The sequence below is a fragment of the Homo sapiens genome, chromosome 4, assembly GCF_000001405.40.
Source record: "Homo sapiens chromosome 4, GRCh38.p14 Primary Assembly".
NCBI lineage: Eukaryota > Metazoa > Chordata > Mammalia > Primates > Hominidae > Homo > Homo sapiens.
The window spans coordinates 82,449,928-82,462,705 of record NC_000004.12 but is presented as its reverse complement, the minus strand read 5'-3'; the positions used below and the strand labels follow the sequence as shown (position 1 = coordinate 82,462,705).

The window sequence follows — 12,778 nt, the reverse complement described above, 5'->3', positions numbered from 1 at the left end:
ATAGTTTTCTCTCTCTTAGCTCCATCTGCTGTATTTGGCGGGCGACGGGGCGGGGGTTGGGGGAGGGGGGGAGGAGGGGTGGAGCCTCACACTTCATATCAAGTCTGGAGAAACAGCACCATCTGCTGGGGAAAGGCTGCCGTGCATCTGCCCTGGCAATAAGCCAGTGGCTTTCAACCTTTCCTTGTGCAACTACACATTTGACATTCTGCGTAGCAACTAAAACCCGCTTTCCAGACCAAAAAGAAGTCCTGCTACTCCAGAAATGTTGATAAGATTAGAGAATCTTCTGTTAAGGGCTTCTCTTCTAAAAAACCAACCTGGGCTTTGACCCAAGATTAGAAATCAGCGCCACTGTAGGAAAGAGAACAACAGAGGTACATCTGGATTAATAAACAGGAATAAAAAGAGCCACAACTTTAAGACGCTTTTGTCCTCCATATTCTCTGCAAACAAGAGGCTGAGGCCTTTGTCCTCTTTTTGGAAGTTCCAGAGGTTTTTTGCCTTCCTTCCCCTCATAAGGACTATGAATTCATCTGACTTCATCTTCTAGCTCATTATCCACATTAAAAAAAGTTTTTTAATGATGCATAACTGTGCATATTTATGGGGTACACTGTGGTGTTTCAATACATGTATACATTGTGTATCACTGCTTACATTCTTAGATAGGTATTTTTCCTCTCTTGCCAATCTACTTTATCTTTCAAATTCTTCCTACGACCTTTCTCCATCATTTGTGAATGGTTTTCCTAGGATCTAAAAACGATTCCATTCAACTAGTTTTTCCCTTACTTTGCAAAATAAATCTGATACTTCAATTTTCTCTTAATTCCTGAAATCTATTGATTTTCTGTCCTCCTTACTCAGTGTACATGGGTAGTAAAATGCCTCTCCACCTCAATCCTTTGCTGGCTAGATGCTGTGTGCCTTCCTTTTTATTCAATTCCTTTCTAATCTAGATCCTAGTGCCTAATCTTCTCATTTCTTCATTTTCCAACTACTCCTTAAATAACATTAAGATATACCCCTTTCTGCCATCTGCCTATGAGCTTTCCAAAAAAGGTATTAAGTTCATCCTTTTATTACTATTTGTGGTTTTATCATCATTTACAAATTATTCCCATTTCTAAGATGTACCTAAACTCATTTCCTTTCTTTTTTATTCATATATTTTCATAGACCCTAGATTTCTTAATTGGCTACTAGATCAAAATTATCAACATAAAATCTTTTATATCCCCTGTCCTCTCATAGTTCTAAGACTTCTTTTTCCTTATTCAAAGCATTTCTAAAATTGCTCCTCCAGGATTCGTGAGTTTTTCTTGATTAGTTAGGAGAGTAACTCCCTCCTTCAAGCATTACCTTAGAGACCTCAAAGTTAAGATTCTCAAAAATATAAGGAACTCCACTCATATCCTGAATGCTTACTATCCAAATGGAATAGTAACCTTATATGTATACATAACTCAAATAATAACCATGAATTGCCACCGGCACTCCATTAAAACACACACATGATACACGATTAAGATAAGAGCTAAATATTCTTGTTTTTCAGTTTCTCTTTTGCTATGGCGGCATGTGGATAGAGTTCAGGAACCTATATAAAACTGAGTGAAGAAAAAATGCTTTTATTAATCACAACATGAAATTAACATGACATCGTATTAGAATTAAACCAGGATAAATACTGCTGTTATAAAATTTACATTTCTCACATCCATTCCAGAGGAAAATCTTACATATTAGGGCTCATCTTAATGTTATGGACTGATTTCAGTAAAACTTTTTAAATAGTAAATAGCAATTAACGTATTCTCAAACTGTGCTAAGTAGTTAGAAAGGCAACTATAAAATCTATAATGATAACACGTGGCAGGATTAGAACTGTTCTGTTAAACATTAAGAACCACATCTCTGTTTTAGATGTTACCTCAGTGCACCTTTTTCACTGGTAAGGCAACTGCTTGCTGTGGGTGCCACAATGATTACCAAGTTTCTTCTTAAGTAAAAGACACTTGTTTGATCAAGACTCAAGTGAGTTTTCTTTCCCAATTTTGTTCTTTTGAAGCAGAAGGAAATACCTTGGTCTTTGATATATATAAGGAGGCAAATATGAAATACAGCTGTTATAATCTTCTAAATCACAAGGGCAATGAATTATTCATTTTCTTTGAAAATATTCAGTCTTTGAAATATTTCATTTTTAAAATAACAAGGCTTCTGAATAATTTCTCAAAACTAGCTTTCCATTTTAGTACACGATTTGATAAACATAGCACATTAGATAGGTATTTAGCAATTTCTTCTACCAACTACACTTTGCCCTCACTAAGGGTTAGAGTATGATTTGAAACAATTTCTACATATAAAGCATCTTTAAATAAGTTTTGTGTTCACTGAACTGAGACTTCTTTCACTTATGTACCTATGGAAGTTAATCTGAGCATACACATATATACATACTTGCATACATATGTGTACATATGTTTTTTAAGTAAGTTACTTTTACCATTAGAATAAACCTAGACACTACAGGGACAACTCTGGGGAACAGGGCGGTCTGCCTTAACAACCCTTCTCTAGGTTGAGGAAGGCAGGTATAGTTCACTGAAGGATGTGATGAGGCTGTAGTAAGTCTTCTCATCATCTGTTAATCCTGCGTTGCCTGGTCTCACCACCACAGCTACGTGCACATCTGCTTCCTCAGCAGCACTGGCCTCTGTGAAAAATCAAAGGATGTGTGTGTGTCAGAAACACCAAAAAATGATGTCTGAGATTTGCAGCAAAGTCAGCAGGGGGATGTGGGGATGGAAGAAATGAATTTGGCCCTGATTTGATGACTGTTGAAGCTAAAAGATGGGCACCCTGGGGTTGACTATATTATTATCTCTTTTATGTATGTTTTAATTTTTCCATGATAAAATTTTAAAAAATACGTAACTGTACTTGACAGAAGAGAATGGCAGTGTATCCTACACTTCTGAGCTTTATTAAGTACTTATGAATGCAGAAGGATGGAGCCATGTTCTGTCCTACACCTTTCCTCCACTTCCTCCCATCAGCCCATACCGAGAACTGAGCTGTTTCCCAAAGGACAAGCTGTTGGTAACACGAATTAAAATGATATGGGGCTGGGCACGGTGGACCCAGGAGTTCACTTGAACGCCAGACTTGAGTCCAAGAGTTCGAGACCAGCCTGGGCAACATGGTGAAACTCTATCTCTACAAAACAATACAAAAATTAGCCGGGCGTGGTGGCGTGTGCCTGTAGTCCCAGCTACTCAAGAGTGCTGAGGTGGGAGGATTGCTTAAGCCCAGGAGGTCAAGGCTGCAGCAAGCCGAGATCGCACTACTGCACTCCAGCCTGGGTGACAGAGTGAGACCCTGTATCAAAAAAATAAAAACACAAAGAAGATAATGGGACAAATGGAATCCTATGGTTTAATCAGCCCAAGATATCTGCTCTTACCTCCAGACCCTAAACATGTCATACTCCCAGCCTAGAATGGAGCAAGTTAGAGTGGGAAATGGGATACAGGCCTGTGATAAGAGAGATGGCGCTTACTAGGACAGATAGAACAAAACTGGTGAGAAATCTGGAATATATATATATAAATCCCGTGGAATTTAGATTTGGTGTAAGAGTAATCACCATTAGTTTCTCAGCCTTTGGAGAAGAGTCACAGCACCTGAACAGATTAACTGAAGGGCAGTCGTGCTGAGAGAGTTAAGTTCCCAGGAGACACACTGGGGCTGAGCTGTTTCTTCCACCCACCCACCTCCTCAAGTGCCTGCTTTCTGTTCTGCCTGTGAAAGGGCCTGTCACTTTCCCAGAGCAAACAGTACTCAAGACTCCCCTCTCTGTGTGGGAATGTCTTCTTCAGACCACCTCTGCAGATGCCATTGGAGAAAGGCAGCTATCTTCCACTCACCCCTACTTCCTAGCCTGACTGCCCTGAGCAAAGTTTTCATCGTGACTGGCAACCCGGGAATATGACCAAGTTAAGCCATCACAATCCACATGGGACTTGACACTACAAGTGGCCGTTCCATATTCAGGCTTTTTATCTAATTCACTGCAGGGCAAGTTTTATCCCTAAGCATCTATTTGCTCTACTGTTGTAATGCTGAGACACTTTTTCATACTTGGGTATTATTTGGGATTTTATTTTTTATTTTATTGTGTTTTTTCAGAAGGGTCTCTCTCTGTCGCTCAGGCTGGAGTGCAGTGGCATGATCTCGGCTCATCCCAACCTCCGCCTCCCAGGCTCAAGCAATTCTCCTGCCTCAGCCCCCAGCCGAGTAGCCAGGATTACAGGCGTGTACCACTACTGCCTGGCTAATATTTGTATTTTAGTAGACACAAGGTTTCACCATGTTGGCCAGGCTGGTCTTGAATTCCTGACCTCAAATGATCCACCCACCTTGGCCTCCCAAAGTGCTAGGATTATAGGTGTGAGTTACCGCGCCCAGCCATTATTTGGGATATTAACTTAGTTTTTCATTCTGCCTCAGCAGTGGAAGTCTGGGCATGTGGTACCAAAACAGGACCAGAGAGAAAAGAGCAAGCAGGCAGACAGCTCCCTGCCTCATCCCAGCTGCCGATGACCCAAGTTCTGGCCTAAGTGTGTATGGGGCCAGCAGAAGATGAAGGGCAGGAATAAAACCTCCTTACAGAGAATCAAAGGGAGCTAATTTCATTTTGAAGCCAATTTAGGGATTATTTCTATTCTCCAAAATTAGGAATAATTTCTACAATTGCAACTGAGGAAATGGCTTAAATGAGAAGAGAAAGATCTGAAATTATAGATGTACTATGTGATCCCAAATACAAAAATTAAGTGGCTAAACACAAGAATATGAAGAAACTATAAGTGGTCTAAGGACAGGGGTTATAATTCTTAATATTGAGATAGAGCAAAGGTCCGGGGATCACAAATGGAACTGTGCATTTAATCCCAGAACTGGCTGGCTCAACTACCTACCCCTTATACTCACAACCCCGCTTGCATGCTCCTTCCCATGACAACTCCTCTAAGTCTTCCTGTTAATTTCCTGTGTCATAGTGTGTGTGTGTGTGTACATAGCGATGGCTGGGAAATCACGGACAAGGAGTTAAACGAGAAGAGTTAGTCTTTTCAATGCCACTTCCCCACATGCAACCCCCAGAGTTGGTTCATTCTTTTTTGAGACAGTCTTGCTCTGTCACCCAGGCTGGAGTGCAGTGGCACAAACACGGCTCACTGCGGCCTCGACCTCCTGGGCTCACCTGATGCCCCTGCCTCAGCCTCCCATGCAGCTGGGACCACAGGAGTGAGCCATCATACCCAACTAACTTTCTGAATTTTTCTGTAGAGACAGAGGTCTTACATTGTTGCCCAGGCTAGTGTCGAACTCCTGGGTTCAAGCAATCCTCCTGCCTGAGCCCACAGAAGTGCTGGGATTACAGGCATGAGCCACCAAGCCTGCCTTCACTGCTGTGTTTTTTTTTTTTAATTCAAACATGAACTTGAACCAGACACTGTTTCTTTATATAAAACCGTAAAACTGTTTTATTTTTCAAGGATCCCCATATAAAGTTTCTTTAAAGAGGCAATGTATTTGTAGTGCCAGGCTCAGTTCATATCCTGGAGTATATAATATAAGAAGTCTATTACTCACCTCGAGTAACATCTGTCAGAAACAAAATGTTGTTGGTTGAGCACCCAATGCTGTCTGCAATCTTTCGGTAACTTTCACTCTCTACTTTGTGTCCAATCTTGGTATCAAAGTGACCATCAACAAGCTGAACAAAGAGAAGGGGAAAGACTGGCAATACAAATACACTTGCATGCCCCTCATGCCTTTCTCTGAAATACATGACAATCACAATTACTTCATTCGTTCAGTATTTTCTGAAAATCTACTTAATAGGGAACTTTATGGAGGCTATACAAAGTAAAAATAAAGATTTTATAGCAACAGACATTTGGAAGAAGAAAACTACCAGCTCAACATACATAAGATCATTTCATAATCTACCTGGTTTTCACTACCGTTCATTTTACATCTGAAATAGTTTAAAATAAACATGCCCTACATCCTACCCTTAAAGATGATTTGCACTCAAACTACTCACTGGATTGAATTTTACTCCTGATGAAAGATTCTGAACACTGTCCTTTAATCTTACGATGAAAAAATTTCTCTAACCTGCCTCATGAATAAGCTATTATTTTACTTACAAGAAATTCTCATTTTCTAGTTAAAACGTTTTGAAATTCTACCCAAGGGCTCGTCTATGTCTCTGCCCTCTTGGAAACAATTGGAGTCAAATCTGTAACTTGCTAATTTGACCAACAGTAATTAAAATAAGTCCATATTTAGGGTCAGTTACTAAGATGTGATCTTTTGAATGTTTTCAGAACTTTTCACAAACTAAAAACAAGCATAGTAAGCACTCAAACTGGGTTTGGCCAATGGGAAGGTAAAAAAAAAAAAAAAAGTAATTTTAAGTTTTTTTTTTTTAAAGTTAAAACTGATTTTGCTTATTTTCTTTTTCTTGCAGTTTGCCTCACTTGGTAACTAGAGAGTAAAATTCTTATTAGTGAACTCAGTAGGTACTTTTGTCCTGTCATGATTGTCAGAGAGAGCAGAAAAGAAGTTGTATCTGTATTAAGAGAACAGTCACCAATGATTAAAGGGTTTCATTATTAATATTTGATTTAAAAATAAGACAGAAAGTAGGAAAATACTAAAATTAGAATATTACAACCTCCAAAGCCAAAGTGTTCTTTGCACATGGTAGGTGCTCAATACATATTTATTTTAAAAACTTGTCTGGCCAAGTTACCTATTGTAAGTAACCTATTATAAGTTCGGTCTATATTCAAGTTACCTATTGTAAGTTAAAATAAGTAAATTTTTTTTTTTTTGAGATGGAATCTCACTCTATCGCCCAGGCTGGAGTGCAGTGGCACGATCTCAGCTCACTGTAAGCTCCGCCTCCTGGGTTCAAGCCATTCTCCTGCCTCAGCCTCCCGAGTAGCTGGGACTACAGGTGCCCGCCACCACGTCCGGCTAATTTTTTTTTTTTGTATTTTTAGTAGAGACGGGGTTTCACCATGTTAGCCAGGATGGTCTCGATCTCCTGACCTCGTGATCCGCCCACCTTGGCCTCCAAAAGTGCTGGAATTACAGGCGTGAGCCACTGCGCCCGGCCGGTAAATATTTATTTTTAAAAAGTATCTGGTCAAGTTACCTATTGTAAGTAACCTATTTTAAGTTAAGTCTATATTCCAAGTTACCTATTGTTAAGTTTGGTCTATATTCAGCTAATCAGCACTTCTTTTTAAAACCCTAAATGTAGTCACTTCTTTCACTGATCACCCCATCCTCCAGGGGGTGCAGGGATGATGACACAGAGGGGCTAGCAAGAATTTTCTCATGTACATGAAATGCAACAGGTGACGACCTTATTACATTTAAAAATGTGCCTGGTTCTCCTATAATAATGCTGGTTCTTCTTAAATGAAATCTATATTTCTTCAAAGAGCCAGAAACAAATGAGTGCACCTTGTTCTCTGCTGTATTCAAAAAGTCTTTATATATTTCTCAGGACTGCACAATCCTATTTTGCATCCTAACTGATTTTATTTTTCAAGACACAGAATAAACTTTATATAACAACCTTATATAGAAGAAACTGTAAATACAATATAATTAAAAGTGATTATTTTCTTCTTACCTAATTTTAAACAACCAAAAAAAAAAAAGCATTCTATTAGTTCCAATTAGTTTTCCATTAAGATTCATTATTTTATGCTTTGATAGCGTCAAAACAACAAAGTAAACTAGGTAACCTACCTCAAGAATATCTCCCTCCGTAGAATGCCCGAATAACAGTTTCTGTGCCTCCACACTCCCTGAGGAATAGATGTACACCTTCATTCCGGCCTCTCTCCACTTCCTGACTGCTGGAACTACATCTGCAAAGAACCTAGAGGGAAGACCACTAAGTTAAAATACAGGAACACCTCATCTAGCCAGATAAAAACCTGTCAAAACAGATGCCATATGTTTCTCTCTTTGTGCCCACATGGTAACCTGAGAAGCAGCTCCCTGAGACTACAAACTCCTGCAGTTCTAATAAACATACTGCCCAAGTTCCAGGCTCACAGCAGATTAGAAGCAACAATCTATGTGGAAAGGAGGATAGTTTTGAACAGACAGCCACTAGTGACAGTAAAAAGGGACTACAGATAAAAGGATGAAATGGGAAAGTGTTTTTTAAATTCCCGAAGAACTCAAAAAAGCAAACAACAGCAATGATATAATATAATCTTTGATGTTCTTCATGACAAGAAAAGGTTAAATTATGTCCACTGTGCTTTAAGAAAGCATGGAAATGCTTTTAGAAAGATCTGCACCCAAAATAATCAAAACAAAGTTTGAAGGCTCAAAGCTATAAACTTATGATTAGCTAGAAAATGGAATTACTTTTTTTTGAGACAGGGTCTTGCTCTGTTGCCTAGGCTGGAGTGCAGTGGCATGATCTCAGCTCACTGCAACCTCTACCTCCTGGGCTCGAGTGATCCTCCCACCTCAGCCTCCCAGGTAGTTGGGACTACAAGCATGTGCTACCACCCCCAGCTTTTTTTTTTTTTTTTTAATTTTTTGTAGAGATGGTGCTTTGCCATGTCACCCAGGCTGGTCTCAAACTCCTGGACTCAAGTGATCCCCCCACTTCAGCCTCCCAAAGTGCTGGGATTACAGGCATGAGCCACTGCACCCGGCCTGCATTTTTTGAGAACTAAGAAAACAATGTTTTATTATATGGGGAAAAAATTACATAACAAGTCAGTTGAGACTTGTACCAACTCACATTAACCAGTCAGCAAAAGATGTCTTTTTCTGACTTCTGACACTCAGTCTCTCTTACCAATTCTAGTGTTTTCCATAGTCATGGAGGAAATTAACATCACAGGAGAAAGGTGAAAAGAGAAGCACAAAGAACTTGGGTTGTAGAACCAGTCATCTCTAAAAGATTACCTGGAAAATGTCAGTGGAGTCTTCCGCTTTATATGTATTAACATGCTTAACATGTTGCACTAATTGAAGGAAAGAGATCAACGTATTCAAAACCAGTACACATGTAAGTATGTTATTCTGAGTACTAGTTTGCACTCATGGAGACAGGATTTTTCCTGTCTTCAGCAGTTAGTTGTATAATTAAGGAACCAAGACCAAGAGAAGTATGGGCTAACTACCGGGTGCACAGTCTCCTGTCTCCACTTTTTTGAGTGCTTTACAAAGTGAACCTGGCTGATATTCCCAGATCACTGGCATATCCTGAAATTCCAGTCCATCCTTTAAAAGGTAGAAGCTCCTCGTAAAGTACATAAATAAAGAAACAACATCTCATTTGACAGAAACACAAAAGAAATATATGCAGCTGGAAACAATCTTGGATCCTAGGGTTTACAGCAGGCAATGGCCTAAAATCCTTAAGAATTTCACACCCAGGTGCAGTGGCTCACACCTGTAATCCCAGCACTTTGGGAGGCCAAGGGGGGGCGGATCACAAGGTCAGGAGATCGAGAGCATCCTGGCTAACACGGTGAAACACTGTCTCTACTAAAAATACAAAAAATTAGCCGGGCGTGGTGGCACACGCCTGTAGTCCCAGCTACTCGGGAGGCTGAGGCAGGAGAATGGCGTGAACCCAGGAGGCGGAGCTTGCAGCGAGCTGAGATCACGCCACTGCACTCCAGCCTGGGTGACAGAGCAAGACTCCGTCTCAAAAAAAAAAAAAAAAAAAGAATTTCTCAGCAGGCCTGGCACAGTGGCTCACGCCTGTAATCCTAGCACTTTGGGAGGCCAAGGTAGGTGGACTGCCCTGAGCTCAGGAGCTTAAGACCAGCCTGGACAACATGATAAAACCCTGTCTCTACTAAAATACAAAAAATTAGCCAGGTGTGGTGGCACGCACCTGTAGTCCCCGCTGTTTGGGAGGCTGAGGTACAAGAATTGCTTGAACCCAGAGGGCGGAGGTTGCAGTGAGCTAAGATTGTGTGAATGCACTCCATCCTGGACAACAGAGTGAGACTATCTCCAAAAACAAAAATAGGCCGGGAGGGGTGGCTCATACCTGTAATCCTAGCAGTTTGGGAGGCTGAGATGGGGTGGACCACTTGAGGTCAGGAGTTCAAGACCAGCCTGGCCAATATGGTGAAACCCCATGTCTACTAAAAATACAAAAATTAGCATAGTGGCAGGCGGCTACTCCAGAGGCTGAGGCAGGAGAATCGCTTGAACCCAGGAGGTAGAAGTTGCAGTGAGCTGAGATTGCGCCACTGCACTCCAGCCTGGGCAAAGAGCAAGACTCGGTCTCAAAGCAAAAACAGAAACAAACAAACGAAAAGAATTTATCAGCAATATGGTATGGACAACATAGCAAGACCACACCTCTACAAAAATGTTTTTTGAATAGCCAGGTGTGGTGGTGCGTGCCTGTGGTCCCAGCTAATGAGGAGGCTGAGGCGGGAGGTTCACTTGAAGGCTACAGTGAGCTATGATGGCACCACTGCACTCCAGTGTGGATCACAGAGCAAGACCCCAGCTCTAAAAAAAAAAAAATAGGCCAGGTATTGTGACTTACGCCTGTAACCCCAGCATTTTGGGAGTCCAAGGCAGGCAGATCGCTCAAGCCCAGAAGTTTGAGACTAGCCTGGGCAACATGGTAGAACCCCATCTGTACTAAAAATACAAAAACTAGCTGGGCATGGTGGCACATGCCTAGTCCCAGCTACTCGGTAGGCTGAGGTGGGAGGATCACCTGAACTAGGGGAGGTCAAGGCTGCAGTGAGCCATGATCATGCCACTGCACTCCAGCCAACAGAGTAGGACCCTGTCTGAATCAATCAAGAATTTCTCAGTAAGTATAATACTCAAAAGTCTCCTCAGGCAGGAGTGCTATTAGGAACTCCATAACCAAGACTCAAAGAATCTGTGGAAGTTGCTCAAAAGAGCAAAGAAGAACGTGGTAGTGCGGACATCCTCTGAGTAACCTCAACACGGTGGGGCACAAAATTTCCTATGTCTCATAGAGCAAAAAGCAGGTAATTAACAGTCCAGGCAAGCAGCCCAACGGAGCTGTCACTCATGTGCTAAGAATCAAATATGACTTAGTTCAAGGAAGTCACCATTTTCTAGGAAGCTATTTTAAACGGAGACTTTGACAAGTCCTTCAATCAACCCACAAGACCAGACTGGCAGGTCCGGGTAATCTAGTCAGCTGAAATATTTTAGCCAAGTTTTGAAAAAATGAAACAAAGCTCACTTGTTAGACTAAAAAGAGTGTGGATTTTTATCTGTTTTACCAGTCTTGTGACTTACGCTGGAAAGAGAGGACTGGTGAAAAAACATATTTGGATTTGGGACTGGTGAAATGTTTAGGCTGACTCAAGCACATACTCTGCTTTCATGCGCCCAGCTGTGAATGCCGCCCTCCACATGTGGCCCTGCAGCTGTTTGAGTGCAGTGGTCTTTCGATCCAGGGACATCTGCCAGCACACATTATCTACCACGGCCTGGATCATCTGTTGCAGATCATCCACTCCATTCCCAGATGCTGCAGGGATAGGAACAGCCCCATCCAGGTGGGCGTCCTCTTCAGCCTTTAAGTCAGAAACAACATGATGTTTGTTTTTTGCTTATTCAAAAAACAGTCATTTAAAACGAGACCCAAAAACCCAGCAGAACAACTTTCTCCATCATTAGCCCTAGTATGGCTGCAAATTGAAACATCATATACTTTGGAGCTGATACAAATGATTCCTAAAAGAACCTGGATTAATAAATTTACATTACCTTTCCTTTTGCTAAAAGCTGAAATTTAAACTGAGACGCATGTTGTATATGAGAAGAGAGAGCACATAATGATAGAATTAAGATTTGATTTGTTGATTCACTACTGGGATCAACAAACCAGGACTTTAACTCAATCTGATAATTTTCTCTGCACTATAACTAATGGAGAAAGAAACAAAGAAAATCTCATAAATTAGTTTATGCCTGGAATTCAGCAAAAAGAAGCTAGTGAAGTAATGAGGTTGGTTCACATTCAGTCTCCTATAATCTCCCACATCTTGCAAAAATCCTAGTAGCCACTTAGAACAATGACCTTGTGACAAAGCAGTCCAATTTCTAAAGATACATGTGTACATATTTATATACAATAATGGGGGACTATGTATGTATGTTTCAACAAGGTTTTGACAACAAAAAAAGGTAAGGGAGGAAAGTAAAGTAAGTCCTCATTTAACATCATTGAAAGGTTCTTGGAAACTGTGACTTCAAGTGGCATGACCTTCTCAAGTAATGTCATTTCCTTCAACATCATTTTGTTATAACATTTATGTGGAGAAAAAATTGGTTTTGTTATGGTTGGTTTAAAATTGAAAATTGAAATTTAAGTGTCATTTCACTTAGTTTCCAAGAACCTAAAGACAACATTAAGTAAGGACTCACTGTATTTCAGATTAACCCTGAGTTATCCAGAAAATTAAAATCCCAAATATTCCATGCCCAAAGGACATAACTACATTTTGAATCCTAATTCCTAACAGTAAAACATCCACAGAGAGCATTCCACAGTATCCAATATAGAACTAGAAAATAACTGCCAGTGAGTTAGCTCTGCAGACCATGTAAGATCTTTGCCACTGAAGCAATTTTAACAAGAAAAACAACAGAGCAGGAGTTCCATAGCACACAATGTGGAAGGAAAAGA

General features: G+C 40.7%; 1 protein-coding gene across 3 annotated transcripts in view; it reads right to left on the bottom strand.

The window, feature by feature from the left end:
- Positions 1-1,528: 1,528 nt before the first annotated feature.
- The window catches only part of ENOPH1 (enolase-phosphatase 1), a 30,588-nt gene continuing 19,338 nt past the window's right edge, over positions 1,529-12,778 (bottom strand). For 2 of the 3 annotated variants that reach the window (NM_021204.5, NM_001292017.2), the window contains exons 3-6: positions 11,461-11,663; positions 7,852-7,984; positions 5,668-5,791; positions 1,529-2,725 (exon numbers count right to left, since the gene is read on the bottom strand). In NM_021204.5, the coding sequence (NP_067027.1) occupies positions 2,586-2,725; positions 5,668-5,791; positions 7,852-7,984; positions 11,461-11,663 (600 nt within the window). In that variant the 3' untranslated portion in view covers positions 1,529-2,585. The remainder of the gene's footprint in view (positions 2,726-5,667; positions 5,792-7,851; positions 7,985-11,460; positions 11,664-12,778) is intronic. The other variant, NR_120457.2, reaches the window with a different exon arrangement.